At 41.7% G+C, this 22,270-nt stretch overlaps 1 non-coding gene across 1 annotated transcript, besides 6 other annotated features; it reads left to right on the plus strand.

Moving 5' to 3' along the window:
• Positions 104-393: an enhancer, noted in NCBI's record as "active region_25212". NCBI's record gives its function as "activates an Ori minimal core promoter by ATAC-STARR-seq in GM12878 lymphoblastoid cells {active_cell/tissue: GM12878}" and the evidence as "EXISTENCE:reporter gene assay evidence [ECO:0000049][PMID:35858748]".
• Positions 104-732: a biological region, named in NCBI's record as "ReSE screen-validated silencer GRCh37_chr6:144537315-144537779".
• Positions 268-732: a silencer, noted in NCBI's record as "fragment chr6:144537315-144537779 (GRCh37/hg19 assembly coordinates)". NCBI's record gives its function as "represses an EF-1alpha promoter that drives an FKBP-Casp9 reporter gene in an ReSE screen in HepG2 liver carcinoma cells {active_cell/tissue: HepG2}" and the evidence as "EXISTENCE:reporter gene assay evidence [ECO:0000049][PMID:32094911]".
• TRL-TAA1-1 (tRNA-Leu (anticodon TAA) 1-1) lies at positions 637-719 on the plus strand. Its single transcript has one exon. It is a non-coding gene; the product is annotated as a tRNA-Leu (tRNA).
• Positions 724-853: an enhancer, noted in NCBI's record as "active region_25213". NCBI's record gives its function as "activates an Ori minimal core promoter by ATAC-STARR-seq in GM12878 lymphoblastoid cells {active_cell/tissue: GM12878}" and the evidence as "EXISTENCE:reporter gene assay evidence [ECO:0000049][PMID:35858748]".
• Positions 944-993: a silencer, noted in NCBI's record as "silent region_17639". NCBI's record gives its function as "represses an Ori minimal core promoter by ATAC-STARR-seq in GM12878 lymphoblastoid cells {active_cell/tissue: GM12878}" and the evidence as "EXISTENCE:reporter gene assay evidence [ECO:0000049][PMID:35858748]".
• Positions 13,429-13,648: a silencer, noted in NCBI's record as "fragment chr6:144550475-144550694 (GRCh37/hg19 assembly coordinates)". NCBI's record gives its function as "represses an EF-1alpha promoter that drives an FKBP-Casp9 reporter gene in an ReSE screen in K562 erythroleukemia cells {active_cell/tissue: K562}" and the evidence as "EXISTENCE:reporter gene assay evidence [ECO:0000049][PMID:32094911]".

A 22,270-nucleotide genomic window follows, 5' to 3' on the forward strand; every position in this document is an offset into this window, starting at 1 on the left:
TGCCTTCAGCCACCAGGAAGGGCGACTTTGCCACGCTCCCCTGCATGTGGCGTGGCACAGCCGACACGCGCATTTCTACAAAGCCTCCCTCCCGTGTGACTTGTGGCACGTGCGAAGAAGAAAAGCGGCCCCTAGGGGCAGGGGTCCAGGAACTCTGCTGCTGCCCGTGCACCTCATTCCTTGAAACCTACTCTGCTTAGAACAACACAAACTAAACGCCGCCCTGTGGGCCGCGTCCCTGCACCACCAACCAGGCGCCTCCAGAACGCGCTCCCAGGAACCCAGAAGTTTGCTGGTGTGTGTTTGCGGCGCCCGCGCACCTCGAAACTGAAAGCGCAACTGGAGGGCCTGGAGTCTCGCCCCAGCCAAAGGCCCGCGAGCGCCGCTGCCGCGGCCTCCACCCCAACCGAGAGCGCGCCGCTCCGCTGCAGTTGTCTTCACTGCCGCAGCGGGCCGGGGGCAACAGTGAGCCGCGGCGGCGAGAAACCGAGGTACCGGCGTGGCGGCCGCCCCAGCCCGGGCTGAGAGAGCCGAGACAGTGGCGGCGAAAACTCTCTGCGTTCTGGAGGGAGGGTGCGGGCAGGAGGAGGTAGAGGATGCCTTGTAAGCGGAGCAAAAACAAGGTTCAACGTCTGCACCAGGATGGCCGAGTGGTTAAGGCGTTGGACTTAAGATCCAATGGACATATGTCCGCGTGGGTTCGAACCCCACTCCTGGTAGCTTTAGGTTTTTCTCTTAAATCATTTTATTTTTTAAAAATACGAATCTCACTGAACACACCACGCCTTGGACATTAGAATTCCGACTTCTGGCTGGGAGAAGCGCAACGCTCACACGCAAAGTCCTGCTTCCCACCAAGAGACCGCGCAGGCGGCGGCCCTCAGAGCTCTGCTCACTTCCCCAGCTGCGGGGCGGGAGGCGGCCGGGAGGGGGAGGGCTGTGACCTGGAGGGTATTTTTAAAACTGCCTCTGCAAAAAAGTGAAAAATGCATCTCTCTTTTTTTTCCCTTTCTCTCTCTCTCCCTTTTTTTTCCCCCGCCAATGTTAATTTTGTGCACACAACTCTTCTATTAACTCCTAGAAGGCGGAGACTGTATCATCCTAGATGTAAAATGCACTCCAACTTGGGTTCGGCTTAGAATTTTTAAATACAGCGTGGTCAAGTTTTTTTTTTCTTCTTCTCCCTTTAAAATTGTTTGTTTAATGAGAGCCATCTAAGAATTTTTAAAAGTTGCAAGTACACTGCAAATAACTTTTTTTCCTCTCTTGAATCATTTAAAAGTAAAATACCTAGTGGATGCCCAAGTACTACTATTAAAATCAGGAAATTAACATTGATGATTTAATACCATCTAATCCTCGGTGCGCAATCGGTCACCAGTTGTCGCAAGAATGTTCTTTATAGCAAAAGGCTCCTCTTCAGAATGATGCGTTGCATTTACTTGTCCTGTCTCCTTCGGCTTCTTCCGTGTGGATCAGCTCCTCAGCCTCTGCTGACTTTCATGATCTTGACACTTCTGCTGACAAGCCAGCCGGTTTGTAGAATGTCCCTTTGTCAGTCTAGGTTTTCTGGTGTTTCCTCCTGATGAGATCCAGGCTCTGTTTATTTAGCAGGACTTCCACAGAAGCCATGCAGTGTTCTCACGGCAGCCTCTCAGGTCGCATGATTTCCGTGTGGCCTGCTTCTCTGCCAGGCTTCTCCTCTGTAAAGTTACTGTTTTCCCTTTGTGATTAGTACCTGTTTTAGAGGGAAGTGCTTTGAAGCTGTGTAATATCCGGTGCCTTATCAAATTTTCATTTTATTCAATTATTTATGGAATTATAAGTTATGTACGTATGTATCCATGGTGCCCTATTTTAATTAATGGTTACAATCCATTCATTCATTTTGATGCTCAGAGTGTCTCAGATTGGGCCAGTGACAGCCCATTCAAGCTGACTTTTGACCTGTCTGCATTATTCTTTAGCACTTCCTTACTTCCTACTCCAAGATGGTCCAGATTTACCTTGTGCTTTCCTGACCCAGTACTAGAATCAGCCATTTTCTAAAGATCCTTGGTTCCTTTTAGTGGAGAATGGTATCTAGAAACCAAGGTCTCAGTGCTAGGTGTGCTCATTGCTTTTGAGGTGTTGCTACTTCCAGGCCCTCTGGGTAGACAGAATTAAGGAGTGTGTGTGTGTGCATATTTATCTATTTGTATATCTATATAAATATATATCTATATTTATTCATATATCTTTATGTATATCAAGGAGTTTATATATACCTCCAATTCTGATCCAACACTATAGACTTTGTTCTATTTTGTCTCCCTGTCCATGTTTGTAACTCCCTGAATTCCTGCCTCCCCAGTGCAGATCTATACATTGCTTAAGCTCATGTAATGGCTTTAGAATTGAATTGTTCAAAAAGGAAAGAGAAAAAGAGTGTCTACATATTTTGGAAATAAACATCCTGCCAGCAACTGAGAACAGGCTCTGAGCCACTCACTATTAGATACTTGGGATGTGCAGATAAATAACCCGGCCTCTGTCTCAGTGAGCTCAGATAGCAAGAGACAGAGATTTTAATAAGCCACATTTGTAATGAAAAAATATGAATTATGCCCAAGGTGCTAAAGGAGTGGTTTGGGAAGGCCTGACTCTTCCTCAGAGAGCCAGCTTTAGTTGAGAGGTGAAAGAAGAGAAGCAGGGATGAGGGAGGGGCAAGAGGGAGAGGGAGACAGATACAGGTGGGGTAAGCCACGTGGGAGCCATCTGGGGGCCCTGTGAAGTATGATGCCCAGGATGCCCTGAAGGATTTGCAACAGAAGGAACCTGACAAGTGTTACATTTGGAAGTATCTGTGTCTACCGATGTAGAGAATCTTGGTCTGTCTTTATAGGCTTGGGATGGGGGGCATGTTGAATTGGTAGAAAATATTTTGGGGGAAAAATTGTTTAATTCTGTTAATAGCCAGTTAGACTGAGCTCAGTCTTTCTCTTCCTCCTTAAAAGCCCAGGATTTTTTCCTTGAAAAGCAGATTTGTTATATTAGATTCTTTATATATTTTCAAAAGTTCTTAAAACATAGCGAATATATTGAAGTTAAATTTGAATCGTTAACTTAGTTTGAATTAAATTTACATTAGTTTAAATTAAATTTGAATCATTAAATTTGTATACTGCCACTAAACTTATAATGATTTTCTAATAATTATTTTAACAAAAAGAACTTAAGTCAATCCTTTGAATTAAAAATTAACAGTGTGGCTTTATAAACATTCTCTGTGGGTTTGAACTAGTTGTAAGTTATTCAAAATTGTTTATTTTCTATTGGGCTTTTACATAGATCTCTGTAGGAAAAGCTGCTACCAATGTATTTACGCAGTGACACCTACTGGTTAAGTTGAGGCAAATTTTTTGTTAAATTCTGTCTGCCTTGTTCTGACTATAGAATTCTGATAATTTGCTCCACAGTTACTGTGTTTGGAAGCAGATTCAGGCTATATCTATGTCAGCCAGTAAATTGACTTTCTTTTTTCTCTTGTAATCATTAATGATAAACCTGCCATTGAAAATAATCCTGAATCACTGATACAACTTGCACGAGACATTATTTTCATTGTATCAATAGAAGCTTTATTGCACTGCATCTTCTTTGTTTGTTTCAGTTCATTTTCCAATTCCAAATCTGGCTATGAAGTTGAAGGATAATAGATATCTGGATTAGCCATCAGCTTTAAAACACAGAAGTCATGTCCAATTTGAGAGATCCTGAACAAGTAGCGTTCTTGGTCCTCAGTAGGAAGTTGGAATTTGGAAGCCTTAATTATTTTGCTTGTTTTTCATTTTACTTTCAAATACAATTGCAGCTAGCTAAAGAACAAATTCAATATATGCTATGAATCTCACCCATATGTTAATTGTTCAAGTGGGATAAATGGTAATGCTCCATGTTTTAATAAGTCTGTTTAGTTCAAAGATATTGTGTAAGAGGCAGAGAACATAATCCCAGGTGCCTTGCATCGCCTCATTACTCTGCTACTGGATAAAGGGTGATTGCGAACCAGCCCAGCCTATGTTTCATTTTCATCAAAATAGATTTTGATGCCTCTGAACCATTTATCAGACTGCCTGGCAGAGAAGAATGATTCTTTTGTTGTTTATTATATCATTTGAGAAGAAAATAACATTGAGGCAGAATCCCAGGTTGTAGATTAGTATGTGGCAAAGGCCAAACTCAATATTAAGGGCTCTGAAGCAAAAAGTGGATGTCCCAGTGTGAACAGGCTGCATTGGGCAGTGACAACCTCTGACTGTGGAATGTAAGCCAGCCAGGGCCAGAACTGTCTCATTAGCCACACCAGTCAAGGGTCGGCAGTGGGTCCTTACAGAACTGAAATGAAAACTTCGTCCAGCAGAGTGTCTCCAGTACATTACATGCACTCAACAAATACCTGCTGAATAAGTGAACTACCCTGAAATCCATTGAGTATTCATAATTCATTTTGTGTGTTGTACACATATTAATCCTTATTCAGGGTATGTGTTTTAAAATGTACTGTGGATTTATTTTAATCAGGAACAGTAGGACAGGACACAAAAATGACTGTCATGAAGGAAGCAATTCTTATGTTGCAGATTCCTAGACACAGGAGTCACACCACACCATGCAGGGCCAAATGGGGAAGGAGTGGGATCAGTCAGTGGCAGAAAGATTGAAGGGAAAGCATGAGTGACAACCTTTATTGTGGGTACCAAAAAAAAAAAATAGAATGAATAAGACATACTATTCGATCACACCACAGAGTGACTATTTTCAATAACAACTTCATTAAACATTTTAAAATAAACAGTGTGGCTGGGCGCAGCTGGTCATGCGTGTAATTCCAGCACTTTGGGAGGCCGAAGTAGTTGGATCACTTGAGGCCAGGGATTCGAGACCAGCCTGTGCAACATGGTAAAATCCTATCTCTATGAAAAATACAAAAATTAGCCAGGTATGGTGGTGTGCGCCTGTAGTCCCAGCTACTCGGGAGGCCGAGGTGGGAGGATAACTTGAGCCCAGGAGGCCAAGGCTGCAGTAAGCCGTGATCACACCACTGCATTACAGCCTGGGTGACAGAGCAACACCCTTTCTCAAAAATAAAGTAAAATAAAAAATAAAATATAATAAAACTAAGAGTGTAATTGGATTGTTTGTAACACAAAGGACAAATGCTTGAGGGCATGGATACCCTCTTCTCCATGATGTGATTATTTCACATTGTATGCCTGTATCGAAACATCTCATGTACCCACAGACATATACAGCTTCTATGCACCCATAAAATTTTTTTAAAATAAGAATGAAAAAACAGTAAGATTTTTACAAACAGCCTTTATTGTGGCTTTTGCAGGAAAAAAGGGGGCAAGAAAGGGTAAGCATGCTTAAGATTGGCTGGTTTGAGTAATTTCAGCAGGCTCTGAGGTGTAAGGGCTATTCTGAGTTGTCTCCTGTCTCTAGGAATTAGCTGACCTTGGGAGGGACAATCTCTGCCCAATCAGTAAGACCCCAGATGCCAGAGCATTAAAAATACAGAACATTTAAAAATGTAGTTAATACACTGTGGGTTCAGGCATTCTCATACTTCTTTTACTTCTTTTCCCTCTCTTCTTCTTTGTTCAGCTAGGGTGGACCTTACTAATCAAGATTCAGAAGTCAGCCGGGAGCAGTGGCTCACACCTGACATACTAGCACTTTGGGAGGCCGAGGCAGGCGGATAGCTTGCACCCAGGAGTTGAGACCAGCCTAGGCAATATGGCAAAACCCCATCCCTACGAAAAATACAAAAATTAGCTGGGTGTGGTGGCGCATGCCTGTAGTCCTAGCTACTCAGGAGGCTGCGTGAGAGGATTGCAGCGAGAGGATTGCCTGAGCCCAGGAGGTCGAGGCTCGCAGTGAGGCGAGATGGCGCCACTGCACTCCAGCCTGATGAAAGAGTGAGGCTCTGTTTAAAAAAAAAAAAAAAAAAAAGCATTCAGAAGCCCAAAGAGGCAACACTTAAGTAGTTTTTGAGTCATTGAGTCATTTCTATCTGGGTAGGCTAGACAATACACTTGTGCAATTCAAGTTCTAAGTTTATCTTTGGGTTTAGGTTGTATTTTCAGCCATTTTGTTCACTGCCATAGCATGGTAAGGTTGGCAGTTACTGAATAAGGTAACTTTTTTAAGTTGCATGGATAAGATGGATTATTTAAAAGAGTGTTGAATATTTGCCTCAATTCCACAATTTAATGTATATATAAACACAGAATTGTGTGTGTTTGTGAAATACACAGCATAGGTCCTATGAGGCAACACAAGAACTGTGATTAGGAGTCTGCCAGTTCAATTTTTAATCCTAGCTGCAACCCTTGGTAGCTATGTGACTTTAGACTGGCTATTCAGTTTCTCCAAGTCCCTGTTTTCTCGCCTATGAGATGGAGTTGACAATAATAGTACCCACCAAACAATTCATTGTAAGAGATAAACGTAAAGTTGAAAAAATGCTTAGAAAGTGCCTGGCATATAAAATGATCAATAGATGAACCTATTGTTATACTTTAGTGATTCTCATAAAGTGTATATATGGATTGACTGTGAGATCAGTTTTGCTATAAAGGCAAAAGTTGCTCATGGAATTGATTCTGTTGGATGTACATTGTGTGTGTAAACTAAAAATAAAATTCTAAGTCCCCACTGACTAAACAGACCTCCTCTTAACCAAGGGGGACCCCAGAGTAACCTTGAAAACTAAGTTGTCACTCATGGTGAGGTGAGAGGTCAGACATGCCTCCTTATATCCTCTCCCTCACTAACCAGGATCAGGCTTTCTTCCCTAAGGCCTAAACAGAAACCAGCCCTTTCAAAAGACTCCACCACTGACATCAACCAACTGCCTGACACTGCCCCTCCTTTTTTGCCTAATAAGAGACTACCAAGCATGGAGTGGTTCTTGTCAGTCTGTGGAGGAGGTACTGTAAAGGTTTTTGTGTCCTCTGCTTCACCCTTTTTTTTCCTCTGAGACAAAGAGCCTCACTCTGTTGCCCAGGCTAGGGTGCAGTGGCGTGATCATAGCTCATTGCAGCCTCAAACTCCTGGGCTCAAGCAATCCTCCCACCTTGGCCTCCAGAGTAGCTGGGATGACAGGCTCAAGCCACCATGCCCAACTAACTTTTTCTTATTTTTCATAGAGACAGAGTCTCACTATGTTGCCCAGGCTGGTATCAAAATCTTGGCTCAAGGGATCCTCCTGCTTTGGCTTCCCAATGTGCTGAAATTACAGGCATGAGCCACCCCATCTGGCCTCTGCTTCATCTTTTGACATCAGAGGGCTGAAAACTGCATTCTGGGATCATGCTAACACCGCCATTTTTTGTACCTGGGACTCATGAAGGGGCATGAAGCTCAAATGCTCACGCACATGTTTCTCCTTTCATAAGTATGCATGAGTCCTCCTCTGGCTTATTAAATATGTATTATATATTTACCATCCTGCCCAGCATAAATTCCTATTCCCTTTGCCCCTTCCTCAAAGTGTCTGTTTCTGGCTTCTGGCCAGAGGCTATATTTCCTCGCCTGTCATAATGGCCATCCTGCAGGCTGGAACTCTTTATGAGAAATAAAGCTCTCCTTTCCAAATTTAAGAACCTCATCATTCTTCAGTTGACAATTGTATTTGCCACAGCAATTGCAGGAGAGTAGAATGAGATCATCAGCAACAGATATAATTTTTAAAAGAGAGAAAATTGGGAGAGGGACATAGATTGCATTCTTCTGACTTATTAAACTTTTTTCATGTAAAAGTTTTGAAATGTCTAATTTTTCATCATCAACAGCCTCTTCTTAAAGAAAAGTCTGGGTAATTCCCTGAATAATTTCTGAAATAGCAGAGTTCTAAACTCTAACTTTTCAAATGCACAATAAGAGAACTTATTGTTTCTCCCTGTGTATCACACCCACTGGGTTAGTCACAAATAGCTATATTAAGGATGTTTTTCACATTTTTTAAACACTAGCAATTTGGACCCACCCAGTTCAGCTTTTTAAATGCAACCTGACTTAAAAAAAATTGTTTTTAATCCCACATAAGAAAAATAAGAAACCCGTAACACTCGGAAGATGTGCAAAATAATATATGATATCCTGCTTTTAAGAGCAGCAAAAGTGCACCAGAGAGTATAAAGTGGAATTGAAGTCTATTATTATAAAGCTCTTTTACTGTGATTCAGTGTAATGCCTAATTCCATTAGTGCTCTACAAAGAACAACATGCACAAATGTACTCTTTTAGCTGCAGATAACAAATGAAGTTTTAAAGTGGCCTAACGAGTTAAAGTGACCTCAACATTATATTAATTGAGTCAATTAGTCAATTTCTTTCTTTCTTTTTTTTTTTTTTTTCTTTGAGACTGAGTCTTGCTCTTTCGCCCAGACTGGAGTGCAATGGCGCGATCTCAGCTCACTGCAAGCTCTGCCTCCCGGGTTCACGCCATTCTCCTGCCTCAGCCTCCCTAGTAGCTGGGACTACAGGCGCCTGCCACCATGCCCGGCTAATTTTTTGTATTTTTTTAGTAGAGACGGGGTTTCACCGTATTGGCCAGGATGGTCTCGATATCCTGACCTCGTGATCCGCCCGCCTCGGCCTCCCAAAGTGCTGGGATTACAGGTGTGAGCTACCGCGCCCGGCCCAATTAGTCAATTTCTTTAGTCTCCTGTGAATGGCCCTCAGATGAAAGTAAAATGAGGATGAACTTGGGTAAGTCTGGGTGGAGAAGCCGGCTTGGGTGGATTTGGGGTAAAAAGTGTTTTCCCCACTGAATTTCTCTATTCTGCTTCTATATCTCAGCACTGTGAGCCAGCCTAAAGTCTCCTTCCAGAACACATAGCTTACTGCTGCCATTTACCCACTTTTTTCAAAATGTGTAGGAAAGTCTTGTAGAGAGATACAAGCACTGAAAGCTGGCAACCTCTAGTTCCAACTAGGCAATTCATTAACTCAATAAGTATTTTGAAAGTGGCCAGAATGGCCACACTCACCTATGCTGGGAGCTGGGATATAGCAATGAATAAGAAAGACAAGGTTCTGCCTTCATGGTGTTAAACAACTAAAATCATACAATTGATTATTTCATAGTTATTTTGTGGATCTCCCCTTGAACTGTGGGGTACAGTTCAGAGCAGTAGAGAAGAAGCAGAAGCTGTTCACAGAAGTGATAGAATGTGAATGAGGGACAACCAGTAGTATTTGCCTATCACTGGGAGACAGCCTGCATTCAGCCAAGGGAGAGGGAGAAGGAGGAGGAAGCAGAGAGAAGGAAGAGGGAGAGGAAGAGGGGGAGAAGAGAGAGAGAAAGAGGAAAAGAAAGAAAGAATAAAAAAAAGAGCCAGGTGCAATGGTTCACACCTATAATCCCAACATTTTGGGAGGCTGAGGCAGGCTGATCACGAGGTCAAGAGATTGAGACTATCCTGGCCAACATGGTGAAATCCTGTCTCTACTAAAAATACAAAAATCAGCTGGGCATGGTGGCGTGTATCCGTAGTCCCAGCTACTTGGGAGGCTAAGGCAGGAGAATCGCTTGAACCCTGGAGGCGGAGGTTGCAGAGAGCCGAGATCACACCATTGCACTACAGCCTGGTGACAGAGTGAGACTCCGTCTCCAAAAAAAACAAGGAAGGAAGGAGAGAAGGGGAAAAGGAAAGAGAAGAAAAAAGGAAGAAGGTAGAAAGAAGGGGAAGAGGAAGGAAGGAAGTGGGGAGTGCCCCTCCCAAACCTCACTTGAATTTCTGGATCACATTGTTGTAGAATCAACACCATCCTTGCATTTCCAATTTAAGACAGTAAGTTCCTCTCGTGTATAGATAGATAGTAGTTTGTATTGGTTTCTGTTATTTGCAGCTGAAAGGGTCCTGGCTAACTAATATACCTTTTAAAGTATTGATATATATTTGAGTATCTTCATCAAAGGAGTAAAAAAAATTGCAGTGTTTCAGAAGGGAAACAGGTAATGGCTACATGAGATTTAATCATGGGCTTGTTGAATGTAAGAGTTGGAAGGGATTTACTTGAACAAATCTTCCAATAAAGCAGAAATAACCCACTGATCACTTCCGACAGTGGCAAAGTAGTCTCTAAATCAGCGGTTCTTAATAGTGGTGGCACTGGCCCTGGGAGACATTTGGGGAAGTATGGGAGCACTTTTGGCTTGTCTTGGCTTGTGGGGGCTTCTGCCATGAGGGACAGCCAGGGCTGCTAGGCATGCTGCAATATCTGGGAGTCCCACACAATAACTAATCGTCCTTCATCCTGCAAGACTTTTGAATGTTCAACAGGATGTTCCCGTGGGTTAAAGGGCTGTTTATCTGGACCCACAGACTAACTCTGCATTTCATATTAAGCACAAAATATTTTTGCAAGCTTTCATTATACAGTTAGTTTTGCAAGTACTACAGCTACCATGTAACTTAAGGGAAAATTGTACTTTGTTTTACTCAGAATTTCATCAAGAGTTAGTTCCTGGCTGAGCGCAGTGGCTCATGCCTGTAATCCCAGCACTTTGGGAGGCCCAGGTGGGCAGATCACATGAGGTTGGGAGTTCAAGACCAACCTGGCCAACATGGTGAAAGTTGGTCTCTACTAAAACAAAAATTAGCTTAGTGTGGTGGTGCACGCCTGTAGTCCCAGCTATGCAGGAGGCTGAGGCAGGACAATCACTTGAACAGGGGAGGCAGAGGTTGTAGTGAGCCAAGATCATGCCACTGTACTCCAGCGTGGGTGACAAAGTGAGACTCTGTCTCAAAAAACAAAAAAAGTTTCCACACTGGAAAGTCACATCACTCACAGCAACAGCAGCCGTGGTATTTGAGTCCCTAGTTCAATACATCCATATCAGTGTGCATTTGCAGCTGCTGTATTCCTGTGACTTGATGGGCTCTGTCTTTTATAATCATGCTCTAGTATTTACATACTGACTTTCATGACCTTTACTCTTTGGAAGGTGCAGATCAGTTCTTTTGGTCGAATGTTCTTCAATTTATGTTTGTCTCACACATTGTTATAACTAGATCCAGCAATACCACAAACGTGCTGCCATGTTCTTCTTAGTATATCATATCAGGTGGCACATGATGTCAATTTGTCCCATTTCTGGTGATGTTGATTTTTACGACTTAGATAAGATGATACTGGACAGGTTTCTCCACTGTAAAATTATTTACCACATTTTTGGTACTTCCATTAGTATGAGCATCCATTTATGATTTTTGTCTGAAAGAATTATTCTTACCTACCTTACAATTATTCTTAAACTGTGATTCTTACCAAATGATGATTTCTATGTCCATTATTCCTTCTACATTTACTAGTTGACATTACTTATTTGTTTATATCAATATTGGCTCATGGATTCCTATTTTATTCAGTTAGTTTTAATCCATTATAATCATTAACTAAAATTTAGCTGTTCAAATTTCCAGATTTGGCCAATAGGAGCTCCTTCAGGCTGGTTCTTGTATTCATTCAATAGTTTTCATTGAACACTTCTTACTTTCTGATACAAGTGTTCTAGGCTCATCTAGAATGTTTCCCTCCAGTGGCCTTGAATCATCCCAATTTCCAAGGAGATGATTCCTTCAGAGGAAAATGGTATTTAGAAACCAAAATCTGGGTACCAAATATGTTCATTGGTACTGGGATATTATTGCTTCTAGTCCCTTTCAGCAGATAGAGCTATGAAATTTATGTATGCATACATACACACATGCATACACATGTATGTATGTATGTGTGTATGTATGTATACATACACCTCCAATTCCAGTACAACTGCACAGGGTTAATTCTAACTTTCTCCACTTTGATATTTGTACCTACTTTCTCCAACAGTGAGAAATCTGCCTTCCATTATCCCCACCATATTCACATAATCTCCCAGTATGTAACCAATTTCCAGTCACATGGATCATCTCTTCTTCCTGGCTCACTCCACACCTGCTGGTCAAGTGGGTCCAGTTGGCTTGCTCTGGTCATACTGAACCAACACCATCCTCAACTTTGGACCATGCCCAGATCCCAAGTAGCTATAATCTAAATGCTGAATTTGATAGATCGCTTTTAATAGTCTTTATTTTAGCTATTTTAAGTAATTATTTTGAATTTTGATTATGTTATCCACTGCATTCACTGCCCCTCCTAGTTTGGAGCTATCAAAACATTTAATAAATTTGTATTCAAGTTGTTGATCAAATCTTGAAGACAACTGGAATTAATTCCTGATGGAATTAATACATTAATATACACTTTTTGTATGTCATTGTTCTACTGGCTCCAAACTTATATTTAATGATTACCTGATCTGGCATTTATTCATTGTGACCATAAGAATATCTGGAGATGTGCTTTCTAATACTGTGCCAAAATTAAGTTACATTCTGTCTATGCATAGTAACCTTATAAAAAATATTATGTCGGTTTGACCTAAGATGTTATTAATGAATCTATGCTGGCTTCTACTACTCATTGCTTTCTTATGAGAGGGGTTAAGTAACTTGCTCACAGTGTAGTTAGTAAGTGAAGGTCTGAAATTTGAACCCAGGCTGATATATCGCTAAAACCTTGCCCTTTCCACAGTCCTTCCATCTGTTTTCATTGGGATGGAAAAAGGTCCTCCTTTTTCTGTTTTTATTTCATGCCAATTTAATGAGATATTGTCAGAGTGCAGGTCTTGGCCTGTAGGCATGCTCAAGGGCACTGCTTCAGTTCCCTGGGGGTATACAGGCAGCCATTCTTTTTCTTTTCTTTCTTTTTCTATTTTTTTTTTTTAATTTAATGAGACAGTGTCTTGCTTTGTCGCCCAGGCTGGAGTGCAATGGTGCGATCATGGCTCATTGTAACCTGGAACTCCTGGGCTCAAATGACCCTCCCCAAGCAACCATTCTTAACAGCTTCTTGAACCCTGTACCAAGATGTCCTGCTGAATTGCTCATTTGATGTACAGATTGAAACCTAAACTAGAAAGGCAGCTGTGAGTCTCTTTACGAGCAAAGCATTTCTAAAAGACGATTATGACAGTAAATTATTTGTCCATGTGAAATATTTACTTAACATTCTTTTACCTCTCAGAATATCAATATTTCAAATATTAAGGAGTTCAGCACAATTTTTTAGTTCGAAGGAGAGTTCAAAATTTGTCTTTGTTTTCTCCTTTTTAAACACCTTTAATCTAAGTCACATTAAAGCTTAGAAATGCCACAAAAGTCACTTAAGACATACCCGTGTACTTGATAAAGGTGTCTATGCTAGATTTAAACAAGAGAAGAGAAAAACAAAAATCTCCTTAAGTAGAAGAGTTGTCCACTGAGGCTGTTTTGCTGGATTTCATAGAACGTTGTAAGTGCAAACATCACATTCTTGAGGTTGTGGTCGTGTTGAAGGGGTAAGTCCAGAGGAAGAGGGAAGATTCTGAACAAAGAAGACTGAAGCTGACAAGCAGGGAGAAAAACCCCCACAGAGGAGTCTGTACATTCAAGAGAAGTGGTGGGTGTCCTCACTGGAATACTTAGAGACACACTGCACAAAATAACAGAGGCGCTTCTGTGGGGACCATCACAAACTGGCAGCCACTCAGAAAAGTTCGCCCACCAGACTCAGCTGCTTAGGGCTATCTGGCTGTCTGAGCTCCTGCGGTCAGGGCTGGCTGGCTGCTGTCTCTCAGGAAAATGGCCCGTGGGTCCCTAAGTCCTCATGGTGCACAGGATGCTACCGATGTGATGCATCTGAGGCTGAGCATGCATGAGAGCCCTTGAAAAGAAGCCTGCCAGGCCATTCATTTCACTTCATCCATACAAATACATGGTTTCTCCACTAAATCTTCATGCGAAACTAACAGTCCCATCCCGGTGTCATCCAATCAATCTAGATATTTTCTAGTGGTTTTATTTAGTGTTCAGAAAACAATGTTGCCAAGATTGCTGGTTGCTCCCTCCCCCGATCTATTCTCCATTCCTTCTGTAAAAATTGCAGCGCGATGCTGAACTGGACACAAAGCTGCCTGGAATAAAGCTGCATTGTCCAGCTTTTCTCTCTGCTGCGAACAGCAATGGCAATAAGTTCTGGCCAGTGACTTATAAGTAGAAGTGTTATTGGACAACTTCCAGGAAAACATCCTCAAGACACCATGTGTGTGCCCATTTCCTGTTCCTGGGAACATGGATATGATGGCTGATGCTTCAACCATCACATTGCACCATGAGGACGGAGGCCACAGCCTGGGGTTGGAAGACAAGAGAGCTAGAAAGAGCTTCTTCCTGAGGCCTTCTTAAAGCAAAACAACCATCCCAACCCTGGATTACCAACCTTCAGGCATCCATGAAGGCAGAAATAAACTGTTATTTGGTGAAGGCTTCTTTCACCTGCAGCCAATGTTAATCCAACCTGATATTAATACAAATCAATATAAATATTAGTATTAGTATTAAAAATATAAGAAAGAAGTCACTAACCATCCACTGCATACCAGTGCTTTAGCGTTTTCTTTTTATTACACATCCTGTCAATTCTGCTCTGAAATGCTGGCCTGCAGTTTAAGGAAATTGTCAGATTCCCAACCTGTCTATCTGAATATCAATTATTAGTCTGTTTTTGCACTGCTATGAAGAACTACCCGAGACTGGGTAATTTATAAAGAGAAGAGGTTTCGTTGGCTTATGGTTCCACAGGCTGTATAGGAAGCATGGCAGGGGAGGCCTCGGGAAACTTTCAATCGTAGTGGAAAGCCAAGGGAAGCAGGCACATCTGACATGGCTGGAGCAGGAGAGAAGAGAGAGTGGGGAGGTGCTACACACTTTTAAACAACCAGATCATGTGACAACACACTTATTATCATGAGAACAGCACCAAAACGGACGCCCGCCCCCATGATCCAATCACCTCCCACGAGGCCCAACCACCAACATTGGGGATTACAACTAGACATGAGATTTGGGTGGGGACACAGACCCAAACCATATCAATCAGCTTAGAAGAAAATGTATCTAATTGAAAATACAGCCAATAATATGAACATTATGGTGCCAAGCAGAGCAGACAACAGCTTGTATGTATATTTATTTTTAAGTTTCTTTAGAACATTGAAGGAGCAAAAGAGTTTCTAAAACTGAAGGCTCTGGATCCCTCATTCTCTGCTTCTCCAAAGATCCTCAAATGTATGAGATTAAAACTCGAGAGAGTAATAAGATGGGAGTCATCAATATATAGGTGGCAAAGGAAGCAAAGGCCTGAATACAATTATGCAAGAAGAGAGGATGGTGAGAAGAGGGTCTCTGAGAGTACTACAGAAAGTGCATTTATTTTTGAGATGGAGTCTCACTCTGTCGCTCAGGCTGGAGTGCAGTGGCATCGTGATCTCAGCTTACTGCAATCTCCACCTCCCAGGTTCAGGCGATTCTCGTGCCTCAGCCTCCCAAGTAGTTGGTATTACAGGCATGTGCCACCATGCCCGGCTAATTTTTGTATTTTTAGTAGAGACAGGGTTTCACCATGTTGACCAGGCTGGTCTTGAACTCCTAATCTCAAGTGATCTGCCCACCTCTGCCTCCCAAAATGCTGGGATTACAGGCGTAAGCCACCTTGCCAGGCCAAGAAAGCTCACATTTAAGTGATATTAGATATATCCTTGGATATATCTCTGCACACAAACTAATTTGGCTGGCTTTTGTTTGCATTCCTTGGCAAAGTCAGTTGTAAAGTCAGTTGTTTGATTAGACTTTCCAAGTCCTTTGAAGTAAATTAATACTTGTGTGCAAGCCCAATCTATGTTAGAGAAAAGCAAAACTAGGAAAGCAGCATTTTTTGGAAGGGAAAACCTTCTTTATGTCAGGCTCCACAGTCCTGCCAAAGTCCTTCTTTAGGCGCATCTGGGAAAAGGAAGGGAATCACTAACTCCAATCTTAACCCTGGCTTGAATCTTCACATTGGCCTTGACCCGGGAAGGTATTATCATCTAAGCCACTTTTTCATTTTATCTAGAATTTGTCACTGACACATGAAGAGAGGCTGGAAAATGGGAAGGAATAAAGTTCCTGAGAAACTGACCTGCCGTTTTGGAGCTAGAATCAGAATGGAAATTTGGAACTTGGAAGACTTTCTGTTTTTTTTTCCCTCTGTTTGTATTTTCTATAATTATTTCCTTTTTGTGAATACATGGTATTGTGTAAAGTTCTCTATTCATGTAAAGACAGTTTCTTCTATTTATTTCTGTTTCTCAGTGCCTGGCATTATTGCTTGCTAAATATATTTCACCATTTACTCCAGGCTGAAGCATTGACACCATTTTGTGGCTTCCCCACATCCAACTCCAAGCTGCACTTTTCACAGATAAATCACTGTAATTAATCACGCTCTTGAAAAGGAACAGGAGGTGTAAAAGCCTAACTAATGTGCACCTTTAGCCCACTCCAATGACGCTTTGGAAACCGACTGCTGGAACCCTTAACTTTGGCTCTGTATTTCCAGATCCTCTAGCAGTATGAGATCATTGAGATTGTGGAATGAGCTGGGAAATTTTATTTTTCAAAAGCAACCAACCATACCTGTATATTTGTAAGGATTTTTATGGAGTCCTGCAATGTCAATCCTTAGGCTTGGCTAGTTCATCAACAAACTCAGAAACAAACTGAAAACTAGAGGCTTGGAATTCAGACAGAACTTTCAAAGCCAGGGCTAGAGATGTTTGTATTAGGTTGCTTTGGTTTATTTTTAGAAGGCAACTGTTTTCTCACGAGCAATTTTCTTAGGTAGCTTAAAATACAATCATAGCCACAAATTTGAATCCTCTTTCCTTGAAAAAAGGGGGGAAAAAGAAAAGGAAGATTGCTAAAAATTATTTCCTATTCTAGTATGAGGTAGAAAGAGCTTTCTAATTTTTTTTTTTCCTCAGGTAGATGAACAAAAAATGCCCCACATAAGTACCTTGAATTGACTTTGTAAGGATAAAGGCAATCACTGTTTATGCTTAGGAAATGTATCGCATTGGGACCTTAATGTTGAGTACAACCTCTTACTCCACCATAGTTGCCAAGTTTTGCTAAATTTTTTTTCTGCTGCAAAAGTTTATTGTTTCATTGCCGGGGAGCACCTCCCAGGCCCTGGGGAAAAAGCCTTGGTTCTCACAAGTGGTTCATATTTTAATCCACTTTATTCCTGCCCTTTCTATTTTAAATGTTTTCAAAATGAAATCTCCAAATTGCATTCTATACAAGGAAATCTTGGTGGAAAATACTAGGGTATAACTCATTCTCACATAAGCAATTGTTTTAGATAATTAAAAAAAATCCTTCTTTCTCACAAGAAGAAGCTGAGAAAACAATTTCAAGAATTCCCACTCACTGAAAGCCAGTTTTCTGAAAGCTAACTTATAGAATAATCTGACATATCAGATTTACATGAATTTACAAAATTTGCTAATAGTGAATTTAATAAGAATGTTAAATTCACTATGGGCTTTCACAAGATGTTCAACTTTTCAAAATTTCAGCATCTCCTATGGGAATCCTTTAGTCCATATTTTCTTCTTAATATAGAAGATCATTTTAGCTAAATTCTGATTTACTTTTAGATGGTCTTAAACTTAAAATCTAAAGCTGATAGAACTATGAAAATATTCCTGATAGGGCTAATAAATATGTAAGTAAAATTGATAAACCTGATAAGTTGGTCATTTGGCAAATTTGCTTGGTGTAAACTTGATGGGTGGTGACTGAACAAGACTTTGCCCCATTACATGGTGTAGTGTGTACACTGCATAAATCCAGGGGCGCCATTTACACAGAGTATAATATGAATAGAGCCCCCTGGAGTTGTGCAACACAGAGGCCCTAGACTTAACTTGGATCATAAGATGTCTGGCCCCAGCCAAGTGGCATGTTGTGAGCTCTATTAACTAAACTAACAATTCCAATTTAATTTGAAGGAGCACACAGATCTTAGGAGTTCATACAAAGAGGATGAAGGAGAGTCAGCAGCACAGCTTATAGGGTATGTGCTACAGACTGAATGTTTGTGTACCCACCCTAATTCATATGTTAAATCCTAATACCCAATGTGATATTTGGAGATGAGGCCTTTGGGATGTGATTAGGTCATGAGGGTGTAGTCCTCATAAATGGGATTAATACCTTTATAAAAGAGGTCCCGGAGAGCTCCGTTGCCCTTTCTACTGTTTAAGGATCCAGCAAGAAGACAGCTATCTATGAATTAAGAAGTAGGTCCTCACCAGACACAAAATCTGCTGGTGCCTGTATCTTGAGTTTCCCAGCCTCCAGAACTGTGAGAAATAAATGTCTGCTGTTTATAAGCCATGCAATTTACAGTATTTTAAAACAGCAGCCTGAATGGAACAAAGCAGTATGTTAGAATCATCTGGGGGTTTTAAAGATCTTCATATTCAGGTCGTTCCCCAGACCAATTAAATGAGACTCTTCTGGTGGGGTCCAGGCGTGAACATTTTAAAAAACCTTCTTAAGTGATTGCAATATGCAACTGTTCTATAAGAAAGGATTTGGCTGGCATTTGTCTCCAGTTCCTGAGAGGGAGATTTTAAAATGCTTAGAATTCCCTCCAGTGATAGTAGTGTCTTTGTTATTCATGGCGGCCCCTTGGACCACACCTGAGTTTACTCTAAGGCAATCACTCAGAATGGGAACTAGGCATGCTGGGAAGACCGGTCATGTGACTAGAGGGTTGGGTCTTTGAATAACAGTGATATTAGCCTGACCTCCAGGGTGGGGAAGGGGGCTGGAGACTTCAATCATGTGGCCAATGATTCAATCAATCATGTCTACATAATGAGACCTCAATTAAAACTCTGGGCACTAAGGCTTGGGGGAGCTTCCTGTGCAGGGATAGTGACGTATCCTGACTCCTTGGGGAGATGGCATGGAAGTTCTGCATTTGGGACCCTCCTAGATCCCACCTTATGTGTATTGTCATCTGGCTGGTCCCAATTTGTGTTGCTTGCAATAGAACTGCAATCATAAGAATAGTACTTTCTTGAATTCTCTGAGTCATTCTGGCAAATCGTTGAACCTGAAAAGGTAGTAGGAACTCCCAAATTTGTAGCCAGTTGGTCAGAAGTGCAGGTGACCTGGGGACTCCTGAACTTGCAGCTGGCATCTGAAATGAGGGCGGTCTTATTGAGGACTTCCTGTAAACCTGTGGATTCTGATGCTAACTGTGGGTGATTAGCATTAGAACTGAATTGCTGCATCACAGCAACCAAGTTTGAGAACCACTATTCTAGGAAAAGGTGGTTCAGAGCATCCAATGAGTGCCGCAATCAAAAGATCCATCCAGGATCAGAGCGGAGATTTCATTGGGGTCCAGCTAGAATGGGGGTTTATGAAAGGAGGTAGAGGGCAGACAGAATGAGGCACAGTGTCTTGGCCTCAAAGTCTCATATGGGAATAAGAATAGAAATTATGACCAGGACAAAAGGTCAGTGCCTATATATTGCAGGACACTATAGCTCAGCACTCAGATATGCTCCATTGTCCCACAAGCAGAGGACTTAGGTACAGAGCCAAAGGCTCTTTCTAGCATCGACGCCACCAGAAGTCATTAGAAGGAAGCTCTCTGTTTAACCAGGACGGGTTTTATGACTAGAGTGAAATTGAACTGGCTAGTGCTAGAATTTTCATTGATATAGCTGGATGGTCTGGGGCCAATAAGTACAAGATTTAAAGAATTTAAATTCTTCCAATGAGTGGGTTCTTAAATAAAATATGCTGAACATATTATACTTTTAATATATTTTGGTGTCTTGGATGTCTTTATATGAAGATTGAATGAAACGTTCTTTTCAAAATTGGATTGTTACCAAGAAAGGTGAGCTGACCCTAAGGCCCAGGAGACCCCTCACCCCTTCCATTGCGAGAAGACACAGAGAGAAACTGTCCATGAGCTAGAAAGCAGGTGTGTGGCCTTGATCTTGGACTTCCCAGCCTCCAGACCTGTGGGAAATAAATTTCTGTTTTTTATAAGCCACACGGTTTATGGTATTTTTGTTACAGCAGAAGGAATAGACTAAGACACACATTTAAAATGCCTAATGTTCTAAAGTTCTGTAAGACTTGTGATGTCCATCTCCACCATGGGGTTATACATGCCTGCTCTGTGACCAGCCTTCACCTTGCTGCATGGGATTGGTTAAGCCCTGAAATGCTTGCCTCTGCAACTGTCTGTTTTCTTTGCTTTCTTTATTGATGAACGTTCTCTGCTGATGGATTCTTCTTTCTTTCTCCCTTTCTTCCTCTCTCTCTTTATTGCTTCCTTCCTTTCTCTCTATCTCTCTCTCTTTCTTTCTTTTCTCTTTTGAGGCAGGGTCTCAGTCTTGTCACTCAGGCTGGAGTGCAGTGGCACAATCGCAGCTCACTGCAGCCTCAACTTCCAGGGCTCCGGTGATACTCTCACCTCAGCCTCCTAAGTAGCTGGAACTACAGGCATGTGCCACCGTGCCAGGCTAATTTTTTGTATTTTTAATAGAGATGGGGTTTCGCTATGTTGCCCAGGCTGGTCTGAAACTCCCGAGTTTAAGCGATTCTTCTACCTTGGCCTCCTTAAGTGCTGGGATTATAGGCGTAAACTATGGCACTCAGCCTGATTCTTCATTCTTTACATGTCATTAACTTTAATCAGGTTACTGCCAAATAAGGCCTGAGAGTAATTCTGTCTCTTTATCAAGGTGACTTTACACAGCTCTCCTCTGGTTTGTTATGTAGTGGGTTTATGTGTGACTCTCAGAGAATAATTTTTAAAATTATCATTATTGTTTCTTCTGGTATGAAAAATATTTTTACTTGTAAAATACAGAAAAACATAAAGTATAAAAATCATTCATAATTCCACCACCTAGTTGGAACTTAATTATGTTTTGTTAGGCCAGGTGTGGTAGATCATGCCTGTAATCCCAGCATTTTGGGAAGCCAAGCAGGAGAATCACTTGAGGCCAGGAATTCAAGACCAGCCTGAGAAATATAGCAAGATCTCATCTCCACAGAAAATGTAAAAGTTAGCTGGGTGTAGTGGCTTGCACCTGGTGATCTAGCTACTCAGGAGGCTGAGGCAGGAGGATTGCTTGAGCCCAGGAGTTTGAGGCTGCACTAAGCTATGATCATGCCACTGCACTCTAGCCTGAGCAACAGAGAGACCCTGCCTCAAAAAAAAAACTATATTTTCTTTACTTATAAAGTTTGTTTCTAGGTGGCTGTAAGCATTCTGCTTTTAAAAACAACTTTAACAAGATATTATTTACATACCTATTTTAAGTATACAATTCAGGCCAGGGGCAGTGGCTCACACCTGTAATCCCAGCACTTTGGGGGACCGAGGCAGGCGGGTCACTTGAGGCCAGGAGTTGGAGATCACCCTGGCCAACATGGTGAAACCCCATCTCTACCAAAATACAAAAATTAGCTAGGTGTGATGTCCCATGCCTGTAATCCCAGCGATTTGGGAGGTTGAGGCAGGAGAATCGCTTGAATCCAGGAGGCGGAGGTTGCAGTGAGCTGAGATCGTGCCACTGCACTCCAGCCTGGGCAATAGAGCATAACTCTGTTTCAAAAAAACAAAAACAAAAAACACTCACTGACTCATATTATATATATATATATATATATATATATATATATATATATATATATATATATATTTATTTATTTATTTTATTTTATTTTTTATTTTTATTTTGAGACCGCAGTCTCACTCTGTCACCCACTGGATTGCAGTGGCACAATGTCAGCTCACTGCAACCTCCACCTCCTGAATTGAAGCGATTTTCCTGCCTCAGCCTCCTGAGTAGTTGGAATTACAGGTGTGCACCATCAGGCCTGGCTAATTTTTGTATTTTTTGATTTTTTGTTGTTGTTGTTTTTGTTTTGTTTTGTTTGAGACAGAGTTTGACTCTTGTTGCCCAGGCTGGAGTGCAATGGCATGATCTCGGCTCACTGCAACCTCCGCCTCCTGAGTTCAAGCGATTCTCCTGCCTCAGCCTCCCAAGTAGCTGGGATTATAGGTGTGTGCCACCACACCCAGCTAATTTTGTATTTTCAGTAGAGACGGGGTTTCTCCATGTTGGTCAGCCTGGTCTAGAACTCCCAACCTCAGGTGATCTGCTTGCCTCAGCCTCCCAAACTGTTGGGATTACAGGCATGAGCTACCGTGCCCGACATTGTTGTTTTGAGACTGAGTCTACCACTAGTCTCTTTTCTGTCTT

This window comes from Homo sapiens, chromosome 6 (assembly GCF_000001405.40).
Source record: "Homo sapiens chromosome 6, GRCh38.p14 Primary Assembly".
Classification (NCBI taxonomy): Eukaryota; Metazoa; Chordata; class Mammalia; order Primates; family Hominidae; genus Homo; species Homo sapiens.